General features: G+C 43.4%; 1 protein-coding gene across 8 annotated transcripts in view, besides 1 other annotated feature; it reads right to left on the bottom strand.

Moving 5' to 3' along the window:
* Window positions 1-18,247, bottom strand: part of ECT2L (epithelial cell transforming 2 like) — a 107,984-nt gene that overhangs the window by 16,123 nt on the left and 73,614 nt on the right. For 5 of the 8 annotated variants that reach the window (XM_017010828.2, XM_006715472.4, XM_017010829.2 and 2 more), the window contains 7 exons: window positions 17,630-17,755; window positions 11,390-11,476; window positions 6,777-6,991; window positions 5,077-5,224; window positions 2,369-2,442; window positions 2,118-2,274; window positions 1,026-1,091 (listed from right to left, as the gene is read on the bottom strand). In XM_017010828.2, coding sequence (XP_016866317.1) covers window positions 1,026-1,091; window positions 2,118-2,274; window positions 2,369-2,442; window positions 5,077-5,224; window positions 6,777-6,991; window positions 11,390-11,476; window positions 17,630-17,755 — 873 coding nt within the window. Of the gene's footprint in view, window positions 1-1,025; window positions 1,092-2,117; window positions 2,275-2,368; window positions 2,443-5,076; window positions 5,225-6,776; window positions 6,992-11,349; window positions 11,477-17,629; window positions 17,756-18,247 lie in introns of those variants that run through there. The other 3 variants (NM_001077706.3, NM_001195037.2, XM_017010830.2) reach the window with 2 other exon arrangements.
* Window positions 5,026-5,225: an enhancer, noted in NCBI's record as "active region_25164". NCBI's record gives its function as "activates an Ori minimal core promoter by ATAC-STARR-seq in GM12878 lymphoblastoid cells {active_cell/tissue: GM12878}" and the evidence as "EXISTENCE:reporter gene assay evidence [ECO:0000049][PMID:35858748]".

Below are 18,247 nucleotides of genomic sequence, written 5' to 3'. Positions count from 1 at the left end.
AGGATTGCAGTAAAATGTAACAGGAATGTTCAGGATGCAAAATCCCTACAAAGAAGCCGCTGACAGCTGGAAATGCTGGGGGAAACTTTGCAAAGGATATGATGATTGAACTAGATTTTTATAGAATGAATAGGGGTTTATCCAGTGAAATAGGAAAGAAAAGCAATTTCAGAGAAGAAAGAGTATGCACAAAGCACAAATGTGTGAAAAGAGGTTAACATTAGAGAATCGTGAGTGGATCTGTGTGGTATGATTATAAGGAAGTCAGGAAAACTGTAAGAGATAAGGGAGGGTGGGGCCAGATGAAATTCTATAGGTTAACACGTCGCTAACACAGGCCTTCTAAAGCTTGTTCAGATACCATCAGGGTGCAGAATCCTGCACCAGGTATCATATGCAGGGAGATAGAAAACAAGTAGAACATGGCTGGGCGTGGTGGCTCACGCCTGTAATCCCAGCACTGGGAGGCCGAGGCGGGCAGATCACAAGGTCAGGAGATCGAGACTATCCTGGCTAACACGGTGAAACCCCATCTCTACTAAAAATACAAAAAATTAGCTGGGCGTGGTGGTGGACACCTGTAGTCCCAGCTACTCGGGAGGCTGGGGAAGGAGAATGGTGTGAACCCGGGAGGTGGAGCTTGCAGTGAGCTGAGATTGTGCCACTGCACTCCAGCCTGGGCGACAGTGTGAGACTCGGTCTCAAAAAAAAAAAAAAATTAAAGAAAAGAAAACAAGTAGAACACATGGCCCCTTTCCTCACAGGGCATTGTGATCACAGTAATACCAATAAAGGAGCAAAGACTGCCAAAAAGTTATGGGATAGGGGCAAGCTCACTTGTGCCCCTTCTTATAGAGCAACCTTGCAGGTAACAAGGATGTGAAATGGGAGAGCATGGCAGTGCCTGGCACGTAGCAGGCATTCCACAAATACTAGCTGCCTTGGGATCTGTAGGTCTCCTTTTGCAAAAGACTGGAGGTTGTATTCATGAGCATGAGATACAGCAAGTTCCTAAGAATACATACAGGGCATCCCCAGATGATTCTCTGTATATCTGACAGATGATCCTTCATAGTGATGTTTTGCTTCATCTAGGGGAAAAAAAGTACTTTTAGGCAAACTAAAATTGTGACATTTTTATTCATAAAAGAAATAGATTAAAATATTTTATGGCGCTTGATACAGGGCTTGGTATTTTCATATGTTATAATAGAAAGTTTCAAATTTCTGGGCCGGGTGTAGTGACTTTCGTCTGTAATCCCAGCAATTTGGGAGGCTGAGGTGGGCTGATGGCTTGAGCTCAGGAGTTCAAGACCAGCCTGGGCAAAGTGGTGAAACCTCATCTCTACACACATTTTAAAAAAGCCAAAAAAAGAGCCAAGCATGGTGGCGCCTGCCTGTGGTCCCAGCTACTCAAGAGGCTGAGGTGGGAGGATTGCTTGAATCAGGGAGGCAGAGGTTGCAGTGAGCCGAGATCACACCACTACACTCAAGCCTTGGTGACAGAGCCAGACCCTGTCTCAAAAAAGAAAAAAAAAATTTCAATTTTCTGTACCCAATGTTTTAAAACAAAGGCAAGTGACAAAACTGAATGCAAAAAAGTATCTGCATGGAAAAATGTGTTAGCAGTTTACATTCAGCCCAGATGCCTGTTTACAGTATGCACAATATAATAATAATATTTTCAGAATGATAGTACTGTACTCCAAGGTGCTTAATTACTTCTTCAGAGAATAATTATGACCATTGTACTCACTGAGGCAGGAAAGCTAATTAATGCATTGAAAGTACTTTCAGAAACAAAGGATTTTACTTTTTTTTTTTGCCTTTTAGTTGTGTAAAAAATCAGTCCAAATACTTCATTCTTCAAACTTTCATAAAAATTTCATTATATTTGTACAAATATCTGAAAACATTGTCTCATGTTGCTTGGCTTAGAATAGATGCCCTTAGTGTTGGAAATCACGGAACACACTATTGATTTAGCATTAAAAGGATGAAAGACTTTAAAGCGAAGAACCCCACAAGAAGATAAGGTGTCTCAGGATCTTTGAGTGGGAGTACCACAAAGGCATTGTAACATGTTTAAAGGACACAGATTCTTATCAGCAACCAACCTGATCTATATAACCTTTATATTTTTTGATTTGGTCAATTGCAGTGGTCAAGTCCCCACGGTCAACATGCTCTGCAGGGGTATGAAGCCTGACAGCGTAGAGAAGATTAAGGTATTCTTCAAATCTTCGGGATGGGTACAGCAGCAGCTCTGGCAGGCTGTATGAGGCATAGAGAAGGGAGCTCTGGTCTCTGAAGGCCCAGGAATGCCCTCTCTGGGGGGACCCCTGCTGTGCTCTCCCTCAGAACGTACCTCAGCATTTTGGTAACAATGGTCTTATCATGCCTCTTCAGGAAAGTTCGGAATGCTGGTATCATTTCTCTGCACTAAAAGGTGAGGATTATATTGTCAAAACTTTATGAGATAGTTGTAAAGTCCACTGTTCCACTGAGCAAGCATGATCTATGGAATGCCTGAAGCAAAAGGGCAACATCTATGTCTAACCAATTAGTAGACTGTTAGTAGTGCCATTGGTGTCTTCCTAATATGTTAAGAATGTGTGTTGGCCGGGCGCTATGGCTCATGCCTGTAATTCCAGCACTTTGGGAGGCGGAGGCAGGCGGATCACGAGGTCAGGAGATGGAAACCATCCTGGCTAACATGGTGAAACCCTGTCTCTACTAAAAATACAAAAAATTGGCCAGGCGTGGTGGCGGGCGCCTGTAGTCCTAACTACTCAGGAGGCTGAGGCAGAAGAATGGCATGAACCTGTGAGGCGGAGCTTGCAGTGATCCAAGATAGCGCCACTGCACTCCAGCCTGGGCAACAGAGCGAGACTCCATCTCAAAAAAAAAAAAAAAAAAAAAAAAGAATGTGTGTTAATTATACATAGACCTGACCCTATTCATTGAACTTAATCAGTATAGACAAATAAGAATGTACTTTGCAACCAGGTGGGCCTGGATTTGAATTAGAATAAATCGAATATATAACCTTGTCAAATTACTTAACTTTTCTGAGCCTCAGTTTTCTCATCTGTAACATGGATATCATCTCTAATGTTGTGGTGTGGAAAAAAAACAATCCTATCCATAAAGTGGCTGTCACACAGTAAATGTTATTTCAGTATAGTAAGATCTTGACTATTAATGGTATTCACCTTTAATACTTCTGTTAATTACGTTTTCCATAGTAATATTTATTATACAGGTATTCTACTGTACTTAATATATTTTTTTTGTTTTTTGTTTTTTTGAGACAGAGTCTTGCTCTGTCATCCAGGCTGGAGTAGAGTGGCATAATCTCGGCTCACTGCAACCTCTGCCTCCCAGGTTCAAGCGATTCTCCTGCCTCAGCCTCCCAAGTAGCTAGGATTACAGGTGCCCGCCACCATGCCTGGCTAATTTTTGTATTTTTAGTAGAGACGGGGTTTCACCATGTTGGCCAGGCTGGTCTCGAACTCCTGACCTCAGATGATCCACCTGCCTAGGCCTCTCAAAGTGCTGGGATTACAGGTGTGAGCCACCGCACTGAGCCTTAATATCTGTTTTAAAATGTATTCATTTATCACTATTAGAGCACCCGTAAAGTTACCTCCCTTTCCATGCCTGAAAGATGTCAGCAATGCTAACTTACAGAAATCAAATATTCACTGATTTCATTACTGGACTTTCGGCTAAGACCAAGTGAAATATTCATGGATTTCAATCATATTAATAGCTAACATTGGCTGGCATGGTGGCCCACACCTGTAATCCCAGCACTTTGGGAGACAGAGTTGGGCAGATTGCTTGAGCCCAGGAGTTTAAGACCAGCCTGGACAACATGGTGAAACTCCGTCTCTACAAAAAATACAAAAAAATTAGCCAGGTGTGGTGGCACATGCCTGTAGTCCTAGATACTTGGTAGGCTGAGGTGGGAGGATCACCTGAGCCTGGGGAAGTCGAGGCTGCAGTGAGCTGTAATCATGCCACTGCACTCCAGCCTAGGTGACAGAGGGAGACCCTGTCTCAAAACAAACCCCACAACCAAATAACTAACATTTAAGCTAAGTACTTACTTGTGTGCACACACTGGGCTAGTGAACTAGGCATCATTATCTATAGCTAAAAAAATTTAGGCACCAGTGTGTTCCTGATACCATGTGATACTTTGCTCCAATCCTTGTCTCCAAGGTCGGTTCTATGAAACTACCTTATTTATGTAACTTTTGAATCATCAAGTTGTCCAGCAGGGACTAGACTCCCTGGGTGGGGTAGAAGGAATACTACAAAGGAAGCTGTCCAAGGGCCGGAGCCCTCCAGAGGCCTCCCAGCCCACAGGCCTTTCCTGCAGGGCCTCAGTGAAGACGAGTGGTCACAGTGGACTCTGGCAGAAGTGTGCTGCCATGTGACAAGGTAGCCTTTTCTAGGCTTTCGATACCAATTGAGGAGGGAAGAAAGAGGGATGTTATTCCCATAAGAAGGTATCCCCACAAGAGCAGCAAGTGGTACATGAGGGAATTGGATATTCCTGCTCAGATTAAATAATGCCAGAAATTGCAACAGGGAAAACTGTTAATAATTTACTCTCTAGGAAATGTAAGACCAAGACATTCCTTACTTGATAGTGACATTTCATAAATTGATTGTTCTTCCAAGAAAGATGTGGATGATTAATTTATTTTCTACATGAGAGAGTGAACTTGTCAAGGATACACAGGATTGTAGTAGCAGAGTGGATTCCAAGCTCAACTGTGGAGCATTTTCCTGTAAGCTGAGGGTATCTGGGGCAGGTGAAAGCCTGGCCATTTGCATGAGGATGAGTTCAGTTTAAGAACCAGTTCCTGGCAATGCTGGGTGTCAAATATTGTGCTAGCCCCTAAGTCAGGGTTCCTGTCCTCAGAGATCACACAGTATGGGAAGACAGCTGGGAGCTAAGAGCAGAGAAGCCTTTCTTATTAACGCTGGTCTTTCGGGTTCCACACGTAACTTCCTTTCTAGCTCAGGTCTTATAGAATGATGGAATTGAAACTCATTTACCTTCTCAATAGTTTTCAGAATGACAGGGTAATTGTTGAAGAAATTGGTATATGTGTTTAACTGGCTTCCAAACTTCGTGACTATTTCTCCCACACAGTGAGCTGGGCCCCATTCCTGCAGTCTGTCTCTCAGGTTATCTAGAAACTGCCTGTGGTATGAGAAGAGCATAAGCATGAAATATTCACTTGTGATAACTTACAAACCCAAATATCCATTGTCATCAGCATGGGCATTTTCACCCTAGTCCTTTACGGTAGGGTTTTGGTCAAGTCATTTCTTCCTAACACAGAGAAGTGGAGATTTGACAGGAAAGGGAACTGGGACGTGAAGGAGTAGGTTGGCCGGGGTGGAATCCCACCTCTTCACCTCAGTTCCTTGAGGTGAAGGAACCACACAATGGCCACAATACAGCTGCTGCCTAATGTCCTAGTCTCTTGCCTCCAGATAGGCAGATGGGTGAAAGTTCTTACAGTTTGTAGAGGAGAGTGCTCCACTGTCTTCAACAGCTGAATGCCATAGCCTCTGCTTAGCTCAGTTCCCCAGAGCTCTAAGAAAATCCCTCATTCATCCATCAGAGGCTTTGAACAGTGAAAGAGGCCCAGTTCAACCTCTTCACTGTAGGAGCTGGGGCCCACTGACAGGAAAGAACTTGTTCCAAGTTACCTAGAGAGTTACCTTCAGGGAAGGACATACTCAGGTTGCCTCCTTTTACCACAGGCAGAAATGATCACTTTTCTCTCTCATGTTATGCACTTGAAAATATGTTGTTATTAAACTGACCCTCAGCCTTGGGCTTTCTAAGCTAAGTGTCCTGGTGGCTTAATCCCATTAAATCCTTCTGGTTTTTTCCCATTGCTTAACTGAACATTGCTGATTAGGAAGGAGCGTATGACTCTCCTCCTTCCTGCTAGCTTTTGCATGGACAGTCTATTGGTTACAGCAAGGGTTCCCAACCCCCAGGCCATGGATAGGTACCAGTCTGTGGCCTGTTAGGAACCAGGCTGCATAGCAGGAGGTGAGTGGGGGTTGAGTGAGTGAAGCTTCACTGATATTTACAACCGCTCCCTGTTGCTTGCATTACTACCTGAGCTCCAGATCAGCAGTGGCATTAGATTCTCATAGGAGTGCAAACACTATGGTGAACTGCACATTTGAAGGATCTAGGTTGCATGCTCCTTATGAGAATCTAATGCCTGATGATCTGTCCTTGTCTCCCATCATCCCAAGACGGGACCATCTAGTTGCAGGAAAACAAGCTCAGGGCTCCCACTGGTTTACATTATGGTGAGTTGTATAATTATTTTATTATATATTATAATATAATAGAAATAAAGTGCACAATAACTGTAATGCACTTGAATCATCCTGAAACCATTCCCCCCACCCCTGCTCTGTGTAAATATTGTCTTCCATGAAACTGGTTCCTGGTGCCAAAAAGGTTGGGGATCACTGGGTTACAAAATGCCTAGGTCCTGAACACCACTCCTTGCACCATGGCTATGAACGGGGGAAGGGGTGTCCTTGGGAATCACTACTGGTTGCAGCCCGGTAGGTAATGTGATGAGGATCTCGCTGCTATAATCAGGGTCCCTAAGAGGGTCAGAGCATCATTGCACCTCCATACTGCTTTTGAAACAATAAAGCATGGGCTCTTCTCAGTGCACAATGAATATTAAAAAAAATACATATTCAGGGTTTACCTGTTGAGACTTAAAATCTGTAGAATGTCACAGAAAATGATCTGGATATTGGCAGCACTCAGAATCGCTCTGTTTGATGACAATGCTGCTTTCAGTGGTGCGACATAAACATCTCTCACAATTTCCAGTATCTGCACGTATTTTCTCTCACTCTGTAAGAGTTCTCTGACAACTCTAGCTCGCTTTTCTGCTGAGTCCTTCTGGAGTATTCTCTCCTGTAGAGAAGTGTTAAGAACTCAAGTCAGTGATGGAGAAGTAGAAGTGCTGAGCAGTCAGGCAGCTACACGGAGACCCCCCTTGCTGGTTTGTGCTGTTCAGGTTGAAGGGGACTTCACGGGGGCTACGGAGGACCCCGCTGTCCATCACTTGTCCCTAGTATCATCAAAGAGCCCCTCATATGGGGCCAGCCTGATGGCCAAGTAGAGAAGGGACTTTTAATCTTGGATCTAAAGGAAGGCAGTTTGAAACTTATTTTTATCCATCTGTCCATCCAAATCCATATTAGGTGTCTTATGCTGGTGCTGGCCATGTAATGATGAGAACAAGACAGAGTCCTGTCTTCATGGAGGTTACAGTCTAGTGAGGAAGACTTTGGCTTGTCTACTCTTGTTTGTTTTCCTATTTCTTTTTCCAAGTAGTGTTTTATTGATTATCTTGCAAACAGAAGAACTGAAATGAGCTAGCCCTCTGCTACAGTTTGAATGTGTCCCCTCCAAAATTCAGGTGTAGCCAATGTGACAGTATTAAGAAGTGGAGTCATGAAAACATGGCTGGGTCATGAGGACTCCTCCTTCATGAATGGGATCAGGTGCCCTTAGAAAGGGGCTTGGCAGAGGGAGTTGGTCCTCTCTTGCCTTCCACCATGTGAGCACTCCAAGAGAAGGCCCTTGACAGATGTTAGCATCTTGATCTTAGACTTCCCAGCCTCCATAAAGAATTTCTGTTCTTTGCAAATTACCCAGTCTCAGGTATTCTACTGCAGCAGCATGAACAGGTGAAGACACCTTTTCATTATTAACTAATTTGCTTCCCCAGCTGACATATGAAAAATCTGAAGCATATGCTCTTCTTTCAGTATTAAGGATCTAACTTCAGTATGAAGGATAGACTTGGAGCTATGAGCCCATCTCTCCTGGCTAGCCAGGTTGCCAGATGTGCTATGTTATGTTTCCAACTGTTGTTTTGTGTATTTATTTATTTTATTTTATTTTTTTCTTTTGATATGGAGTCTTACTCTCTTTTCCAGGCTGGAGTGCAGTGGTGTGATCTCAGCTCACTGCAACCTCCGCCTCCTGGGTTCAAGCAATTCTCCTGCCTCAGCCTCCCGAGTAGCTGGGACTACAGGTGCATGCCACCATGCCCAGCTAATTTTTGTGTTTTTGGTAGAGACGGGGTTTCACCATGTTGGCCAGAATGTTCTCGATCTCTTGACCTTGTGATCCACCCACCTCAGCCTCCCAAAGTGCTGGGATTACAGGCATGAGCCACCTTGCCCAGCCTCTTGTTTTATTTTTTAATGCAGAGGTGAAAATCATACACTGGCCTAAAGAAATTCCATACCCTGATGTTGTGTGTGCTATGTTTATATGGAGAGAGAAATTAATTTTTATTGCTGGTACTAGATAATTTTTTTCTTTTATTTGCATATTTCAAAAGCTATAAAATGAGCATCTTTATACCAGAAAATTTATAATATCTAAATTTCAAAAACATAATGTCCTTCAATTTTAGCCTAGAATTATTATTTTCCCTCCAGCCCTAAGTATACCCCACACTGCCCCCAATAAAATATGACAATACTGCTTCTGCCACTTGTGCTGCTTGCGGACCTGAGGTGACTCCAGCACTCAGCATGGTGAACAGAAAGCTCAAGGAAGGGTCAGAACTGCTCATATTAATTTTAGGGTGGTGGGCAGGATGGTTCCTTGGTGCAATTTAAGATTAACAGGCATACACCACTTAGTAAACTAATGAAAGCCTATTGTGAATAGCAAGGCTTGTCAATGAGGCGGATCAGATTCCAATTTGTCAGATGGCCAATCAATGAAACAGACACACCTGCAGAGTTGGAAGTGGAGGTTAAAGATACAATTGATGTGTTTCAGCAGCAGGCAGGAGGGGTCCAGTAAAAAGAGAACTTGCTATTTTACGCCAGAGGCTATTCTTACAGACCAAGACTGCATTCTCAACTAAAAAACTGCAATCTGGTTCCACTACATCCTAACTATTACAGTATAGTTTGCTCTATTCTTTCATTTCCTTCCCCATTCCTTTATTGTACATAAGGTAACTGATGAATATGCACAAGCATTTTTAAAAAAATTAGTGGCTAATGGTATGGCTAATGTATTCGTGGCTAATGGTATACCATCAACATCAAATGGAGATGAGAAGGGGAAAAATGCTTCTGTGAAAAGACCTCCTTGGCCACGTGCGGTGGCTCATGCCTGTAATCCCAGCACCTTGGGAGGCTGAGGCGGGTGGATCACCTGAGCTCAGGAGTTCGAGACCAGCCTGACCAACATGGCAAAACTCTGTCTCTACTAAAAATACAAAAATTAGCTGGGTGTGGTAGCACATGCCTGTAATCCCAGCTACTCAGGAGGCTGAGGCAGTAGAATCACTGGAACCTGGGAGGCAGAGGTTGCAGTGAGCCGAGGTCATGCCACCGCACTCCAGCCTGGGCAACAGAGCGAGACTCCATCTCAAAAAACAAAAACAAAAACAAAAGGACCTCCTTTCTCCCTTCGTGGCATGCTCATTCAGCAGTTATCTTTATATTCCAATCTGTTATCTTGCTCTCATTGTTTTAACAACAGCAATATATGTATATATGTATGTGTGTGTGTGTGTGTGTGTGTGTGTATATATATATGTATCTAAATCCTTGCATACCTTGTTCAATTGGAGAATTCTCATGTTTTTCATTTATCATTGTAACACAAAGGGCACATTTTATAACGTTTTCGTACATACCTCTTATATGTAGGGCAATCTGTCTTTAAGTGAGGATCCATTAGTTGATAAAAATGATTACCAGATAGTTTTTCCTTCAAGTCAAACACCTTGTTGTTTAAATAAGTGCCTTGTTTAAAATGAAAAAATGTGTAATGCTATGTGATCTTCACCAAGATGAGTTAACCATAATTTCATTAACTGGAATTATAATGTAAAAAAACTTAAGAGAAAAATGAGAGAACTCACTGTATTTGAAATATTATAAACACACTCTTCTTTTTTTACATTTTTTATTTTGAGACAGGGTCTCCCTCTGTCACCCAGGCTGAAGTGCAGTAGTGCACTCATGGCTCACTGCAGCCTCGACCTCCCGGGCTCAAGCAATCCTCCTGCCTCAGCCACCAGAGTAGCCACCACAACAGGCTAATTTTTGTAATTTTTTTGTAGAGACAGGGTTTTTCTATGTTGCCCAGGCTGGTCTCAAACTCCTCTGCTTAAGCGATGCACCTGCCTTGGCCTCCGAAAGTGCTGGGATTACAAACATGAGCTGCCAAACTCTTCTTGTTTATTTTCCAAACACATGGTCTGTCTAGAATACCTATTTAGACATATCTAATAAGGTAAAAAATACATCTGCATCCTACTTGGCAGTTGGCTTACAGTCCATATTATTTTTTTAATATTATATGTGTATTTCTGTATGTATATATTTTTACATATTGGAGTTATCCAACATTTATAATCATTTTGAACTAAGGTTTTCATTGTCAAACCTTGTGTTGTTATCTTGAAACCACTATGAGGTATTATTACTAATAGTCAGATGAGATACCCTCATATCCACTGCTCTATGGAACATGCTCCTCCTGGGTGTTCCTAGGGATGGGTTTGGGGCAAGTGGGCATCCATGTCCTGGGGCTCCACGGCCTGCACTGTCTGCAGCCAGGGTGTCTGGGGCTGGGAAAGAGCCCCAGGTCTGAGCTCAGGGCTGCAGGACTTAAGATTTTTCTTGCCCAATTGTCTGGCCTTAGGGAAGTCATTTGACTTTTTTCCCCCATGTAACTTTTCTTAACTCTAGTTCTTTATCTATAAAATGTGGCTAGGGATGTGTCCTTTATAGGATTCTGAGAATGAAAGGTGATAATAAGTGTGTTTGTGTGTTGAAGAAAACAAAACAGTGTGCCCATGCCGTGGGTTACACAGGACGAGACCGGCCCCTGCTGAGGCTGCAGCTTCCTCCACACTTTACCCTTGACACAGAAAGACGGAGCCCTAGACATTGTGTTCATTAGATTCAACTTTTGAAGTCAGACTGTAAGTTGGTAGATTAATTAGAAACTGTGAGCCTTTGTCCATGTGCCATTTCTTTAAAAGACATCCTAGTACCATAAAGGAAAGTCAGGGAGTAACATACAGATTGGTTTTGCTCCAAGATGTTACACTGCTATCCTTCTGGCTCAACTTCTTTTCAGTCTGGGGCTTATTTGAAAAAAAAGTCTGCCAGCTGAATTCTCTCTAATAATTTTTGAGGTTTTTTTTTTTTAATCCCCCAAAGGGAAATTTTCAAGGAAAATGAAGAACTAACCAGAATAAAGGCTGAAATTTCACTATCAGGAGCAAAACCAATGGTAAAGTTACATTATATAATAGCTTACCAGATTAATCAGTGCTTCAAAATTTAAATCATTTTTGCTGAGCCTGGACTTTGTGTCCCAAGAATTGTCTTCTACAACATTTCTTTCCTGAAGATTGAATGGAAACTTGGTTATTGGAGGCAGGTCTTGACATCTCTGAAAACTCAGTACTGTGCCCGCAGGAGGCCCTCAGAAGCCTCTGCCTTCAGCCCCAACCACAGTGTTCCCTACACACAATGAGTTAAGTGCTTGCAAATGGGATGCCACTCTTACATTCAATTTTATGTTTTTTAAAAATAGCCTTTGCTTCTTTTGAACTACATAATACTTGAGAACTAAATCCAGCGTAGCTCCCTCTTCCTTGGGAGCCAGGGAAGTGATGCTGGGCTGGGGCTCCTCCCAGGCTTAAAGACTCACACACATTCCTGGGTAACAGACTTCTTTTTTTTTTTTTCTTTTTCTTGAGATGGAGTCTCACTCTCGCCCAGGCTGGAGTGCAATGGCACAATCTCGGCTCACTGCAACCTCCGCCTCCCAGGTTCAAGCGATTCTCCTGCCTCAGCCTCCTGAGTAGCAGGCTTACAGGGCCCACTACCACGCCCCACTAATTTTTGTATTTTTAGTAGAGATGGGGTTTCACCATGTTGGCCAGGCTGGTCTGGAACTCCTGACCTCAGGTAATCTGCCCGCCTTGGCCTCCCAAAGTGCTGGGATTACAGGCATGAGCCACCAAGTCTGGCCAGGTAACAGGTTTTTGCCTCAGCTCTGCTCTGTTCCTTCTCAGTTGAGGGCAAATAGGTTATTTTTATTTTTAAGATCCAGAAGGAAAAGCTCACAAAACTCACTCCTTTTTTCACCACCAAGTGAAAATGTGTCATAAACAGTTCACATAACCTTTCTAGACCTGCACATTTAAATAAGGCTTATTCTTTCTTCACTTTACCTTGTTAACTATTCTTGCTGTGGCCTCTCTCAAACTTAGCACATTTTTTTAAAGCCCTCCACCCCCACCCCTGCTGCCTGCAGTACCCCAGGGTCTACCCTAGCAACACAGCAGTGGTCCTGTGTTTATGTTGAGGGATGATGATGGTCAATGGTCGTTATTGCTGCCTTCCTCATCAAAGACAAAACTACCAATGGCAACCCTTGGATGTCCAGGGATGAGGCTGGAAGAATAACTTCAATTTGTAACCAAGGCTCCTTTTACCTTACTCTACTGAGGCAAAAGCGAATTTTTATTTTGGAGATGCCACATTGCTCTGGCAGCCTGAGCCTCTGCAGAAGAACCCTGGTCTGCAAACCTGCAGCCAGCTAGCTCAGTCCCAGATGGCAGGAGGTCCCACCTGAGCCTGAGTGCTTCCTGTCTGCTCCAGGGAGTCTTCTAATGATTTCTTTTGTCCTCTGCACTTGTGGCTGTCTCATACCAGCCTGGCATGTATCCATACTTATGGCTTGGAGCCAGGGAGGAGATCTACTTGTTTTTGTTTTGTTTTGAGACAGGGTCTCACTCTTTCACCCATGCTGGAGTGCAGTGGTGCAATATTTGCTCACTGCAGCCTCGACCTCCCAAGCTCAATTGATCTCCCACCTCAACCTCCCAAGTAGCTGGGACTACAGGCATGTGCCACCATGCCTGGCTAATTTTGTTCATTTTTTTTTAGAGACAAGGTCTCACTATGTTGCCCAGGCTGGTCTCAAATTCAAGTGTTCCTCCTGCCTTGGGATCCCAAAGTGATGGGATTACAGGTGTGAGCCACTGTGCCCAGCCAGTATCTTGCACTCCAGCGTGGATGATGGAGTGAGACTGTCTCAAAAAACAAAAACAAAACTCTCAGGTTGGGCCAAGATTAAGATAACCCAAACAGCACACAATTGTATTGTGGATCTCACAGATAAGGGAGCCATCTTTCTCTGGGAGATCACCTGACTGTACAGGCTCACATGAAAATTTATGCATTAAAATTCAGGTGTCATCATGGACCCCCCCAGACCACCTTGGCTATTTTAGAACCTGCTCGCTTACAGTTGGGCTTTGTTTCACATTCCGGCTCAGCAGCAACTTACTTTTTTAAATATAATTTTTTCTTTGTGGATAGGACATTGATTTGGCATAGTAATTTTGTTTGAACCTAAAATTGGCAAGTTCACTCATTTTATATTATATGTTTAATTGCCAGAATTTTTACAGCTTAATTTTAGATTCCGATGCTATCTTTTACTTAGTTTTTATGGATGAATTCAGAGGAAGTAACATGGCAGAAACTTTGCACATTTATAAGACAACTATCATTCTGGGTTGGTGGGTCTTTGCCTTGGCTCTGCGGGACATATAAGGAAGACCATTAAAAAAAAGCTCACAAAGAACATGTTAGGAATTTTTCTCTAGGATGGAGCATGGGCAGACACTATTTTCCAGAGACATTCTAGTCATTGTTGATGCTTCTGCCAGCAAACACTCAGCTGCCTGGATAAGGGGCCAGAAATAGTTGTGAAAATGACAGGTAGAGTTCAGGAACAACTATAATTCTGGCGGGCAGCCATCACCATGGTTGCATGGTATCAGTGTAAACATTATAGGCAGACAAAAACCAGGAGCAAATAATGATTGGGCAGCAGGATGATAGGTAGGTAGGTAGGTGGATGGATAGATGGATACATGGATGGACACACACACACACACACACACACACACACACACACACACACAGTCCTGGATTTGACAGATAATCCGTATTACACAAGCCTCTCTGGGAGGGTTTGTTTTTTTTGTTTTGTTTATTTTTTTGAGACAAAGTCTTGCTCTTGTCGCCCAGGCTGGAGTGCAGTGCTGCAATCTTGGCTCACTGCAACCTCTGCCTCCCAAGTTCAAGGGATTCTCCTGCCTCAGACTCCCGAGTAGCTGGGATTACAGGCGCCCACCACCAGGCCCAGCTAATTTTTGTATTTTTAGTAGAGACGGGGTTTCACCTTGTTGGCCAGACTGGTCTCAAACTCCTGACCTCAGGTGATCCACCCACCTCGGCCTCCCAAAGTGCCGGGATTACAGGCGTGAGCCGCTGCTCCCGGCTGGAAGGGTCTTTAAAGCAATTATCTCAGAGAAGCTTTCATTTTCCCCTCCTTTGTCTCCTGAGGCTTCTGAATGAATATCCAGTTTTAAAAATAAACCCTAATGTAAGGAAAATCAGCTTTTCTATTTTTATCCTAATGCAACACTGACGTTTAGCTGTGGTTCTTCCTCCTAGAGGTCTCCGCATTTGTTCTGTGGGCTTTGTGCCCAAGCTCTTTAGTGTTAAATAGTAGAGAATCAAATGAGAATCTAATATGTATTTTTTTCTAATTCGATTTTTTTTAATCAAATTTCCAGGCATTAAGGAGTTTTGCATTTTTCCAGTTTTATTACAGGCAGACAATGTAGCAATAGAGGGCCTGATTTCCAGCAATGAGGAACTTTCAGCCCAAATTTCATGCATTATTTTATGAACATAATGAGCTGTTCGGATCAATAGCCAGTTGAAAAGACTTCATTCATTTTGAATTTTATTTGGCAGAGGAACTAGAGGAGAAAGTGCCTCAGAGGAACTGCTCCAAGTGATCATTCCCTTAGGTTTCAATGAGCCCAGAAATGGTTCTCACCAAGAGTTAGGTCTTTCACATGTGAGAGTGGCACTTCAGAGGAGGAAGCACCTTAGTTTGGTCCTTATTGCTTTCTTGCTCCAAAGAGGGGGTTTTCTGGGATCTGTATGCCTGGGTTTCGAGGTAATAGCTTCACCCTTAGGAATAAAGGTGGGTGAAAGAATCCAATAAGGATTCCAGGGAGTCAGGAATCAGCAGATGTTGAAAGGACTTTGGAAGAATTTGGAACCTGTGTAATGTGGTTATATGTTGATCATTCCCTTTAGTGAACCAAGGGAAAATGAGTGGTATTAGAGGCCTGGGTGCTGTTTTTCAGGTTTTCATAGGCTAAAGGATGGATGGAGACTATGTCCACCCTTTTGGGAGAATAATCTCCAAGAATTTCAAAGAGATGGTGGCTGGCATAATGAAATGAAAGCAGCAGCCTCTGAGAAGCAGAAAGAGGAGTCTGGACTAAATGCCCATCTGGCGTTCCCACCCTGGGGTTCCCATCCCAGCCCGTGCGTTCTGTTAACAGGTGCTAATCATGCTGCACCACCTATTTGTGTATCAGCCTCATCCTCCACAAAGGCAGGAACTGTCTTACTTTGCTGTCTAGTCCCAGGATTTAGCAGAAGGTCTAGCATGTGGTTAGCTGGTTAGCTCCTGCAAATATTTAGAGAATGGAACTAAAAAGATGAGGAATTGCCCTCTGCCTGAGAAGTTTCCTGAAAATACCGATTTGGGGGCAGGGCAGCCAGCAAGCAGGGCTTCAACCTGTAAAGGGCTTAGATATCCCTGGAAAGGCATTTAGACTCCTCTTGGGATGGCCAGGCGTGGTGGCTCAGGCCTGTAATCCCAGCACATTGGGAGGCTGAGACAGGAGGATGGCTTCAGCCCAGGAGTTCAAGGCTATGGTGAGCTATAATTGTGCCACTGTACCCCAGCATGGGGTGACAGAGCGAGGCCCCATCTCAAAAAAAAAAATTAAAAAATAAAATAAAGACTCCTGTCTCAGGGAGTTGCTTGTGTTTGGGAAGAATAAGCCACTTGGGCACTTTGTCGGGGAGGGGAGGATTAAAGTAAGGGTTGTGCTATGGTAACAGCAGAAGGGTAGGGTTTTTTGTTGTTGTTGTTTTGTTTTTTTTTGTTTGTTTGTTTTTGAGATAGGGTCTCACTCTATGGCCCAGGCTGGAGTGCAATGGCGCGATCTTGGCTCACTACAACCTCTACCTCCCTGGTTCAGCGATTCTCCTGCCTCAGCCTCCCAAGTAGCTGGAACTACAGGTGTGCCCCACCATGCCTGGCTAATTTTAGTATTTTTAGTAGAGACGGGGTCTCACCATGTTGGCCAGGCTGGTCTCAAATTCCTGGCCTCAAGTGATCCACCCACCTCTGCCTCCCAAAGGGCTGGGATTACAGACGTGAGCCACTGCGCCTGGCCAAGGATGGGTCTTAATGACGGCAGGCCGTGTGCTGCTGAGTTCATTTGGGGCAGCAGGCAGAGGGAATGCTGCCTCCAGCAGTTCTCTATGTCTGCTCCTGCCCTGCCCTGCACTGTCCTTTAAAGAAGCATTAACAAATACTTCCAGAATATCAGGTTAATAGGGCAACAAATGATTTGCCTGCTAGAGGTGCTCACAAGTCTCTTACTCCTAGCAGCCCTCCATGGTGAGATTATGTTAGGGACTGCCATCCTACGCCTTCAAACATCAAAGACAGGTGACTTTCCTATGGACATAAAATGGTTCTAAAACAGTATTTTCCCCTACATAGAAATCAGTTATGTGAACGACAATGTAATTCTCAGCATTTCTTGAATCCTGGTTATTTCATGTAAACAAGAATGCTTGGATTCCTAATATAGTACTGGCAAAATTATTCTTTTTGGCCTGATGAACTAGTTTTATTTATTTACGACAGAGTCTCACTCTGTCACCCAGGGTGGAGTAAAGTGGTGCGATCTTGGCTCACTGCAACCTCTGCTCACTGAACCTCCCCGGGTTCAAGCAAACCTTGGCTCACTGAACCCCCCTGGGTTCAAGTGATTCTCCTGCCTCAGCCTCCTGAGTAGCTGGGATTATAGGCATGCCACGATGCCCAGCTAATTTTTGTATTTTTAGTAGAGACGGGGTTTCACCATGTTGGCCAGGCTGGTCTCAAACTCCTGACCTCAAATGATCTGCCCGCCTGGGCCTCCCAAAGTGCTGGGATTGCAAGCGTGAGCCACCGCGCCCAGCCAGAACTCGCTTTAAACCCATTTTTTTCTTTAATGAATTTGAATCTCAACTAAGAAAAAAAAGAACTATTCTTAGTTTCACCTCCCTCAAAAAAAAATTCCCCTTAAGTTCTCTCAGGGCTCATAAATGTCAAAGCAAAATGCAAATTTCTACCTTTCTCCCCACAACCAAATAGTGTTACTCAAGTTAACATGTTGCAGTTTATGCTTTTAAGCGGCTTAAATGTTACTCATATTATGAAACTACAAAACACCCTATTTTAGTAATACTTCATGAAAATAAAATTCTTTGGAGAAATGACAAGTTAAAGCTTCCCAGTAGAGCTCATATAATGATTTATGAATTTCTTTATCACATGTGCCTAACTCTACAGAAAAGCAATGGCATAAAAATTCAGCAGCAACTTTACCTTCATGAATAAACTGAATGTTGTCTTTGGGTCACATTTTGTTGGAATAACATTTCCTTCAACATCTTTGATCTTTTTGCCACATTTCTTCAGCAGAAAATACGACAAAAATTCCAGAGGTTTGTCCTAAAGAATGCCCAACCCCCCCGCAAGAAAAATGCCCATTTAAAACATTCTTCTGAAATACAGATGTCAATACTGCAGCAGAAGAGAGAGCACACTTTTTAGCAGGGATTTCAGCTTTCTACCTAATTAATTGACATGTCCAGAAAACAGAGTGACTAGTGCTCAATTCAAGTCAGTACATGAGACTTTCTAGTTCATCTCATATTCCAGTTACCATATGTACTCTTGGTTCTCAACAATTTGTCACAATCCAGTTAAGACACCAAAATTTTATGGGAGGGTCTCTCAAGATCTTTGGAACCAAAGTGGCCCACACCAACCCCTTGGCCAAATGAGGAAACGGGACAGGAAGGATCTTGTTGTCTTTCAGGGGGAGGAAGAAGGCCTGGGAGAGAGGCTGCAGTAGCAGAATTGCTGGGAAAACATGCTGGGGCTCTCAAATTTGGTTCCCCTCAGGCTATAGGTTTGAGCACCATCCAAATTATATCATAC

Source organism: Homo sapiens, chromosome 6, assembly GCF_000001405.40.
Source record: "Homo sapiens chromosome 6, GRCh38.p14 Primary Assembly".
Classification (NCBI taxonomy): Eukaryota; Metazoa; Chordata; class Mammalia; order Primates; family Hominidae; genus Homo; species Homo sapiens.
Note: the sequence above shows the minus strand (reverse complement) of the source record. Positions and strands in the feature narration are given on the sequence as shown.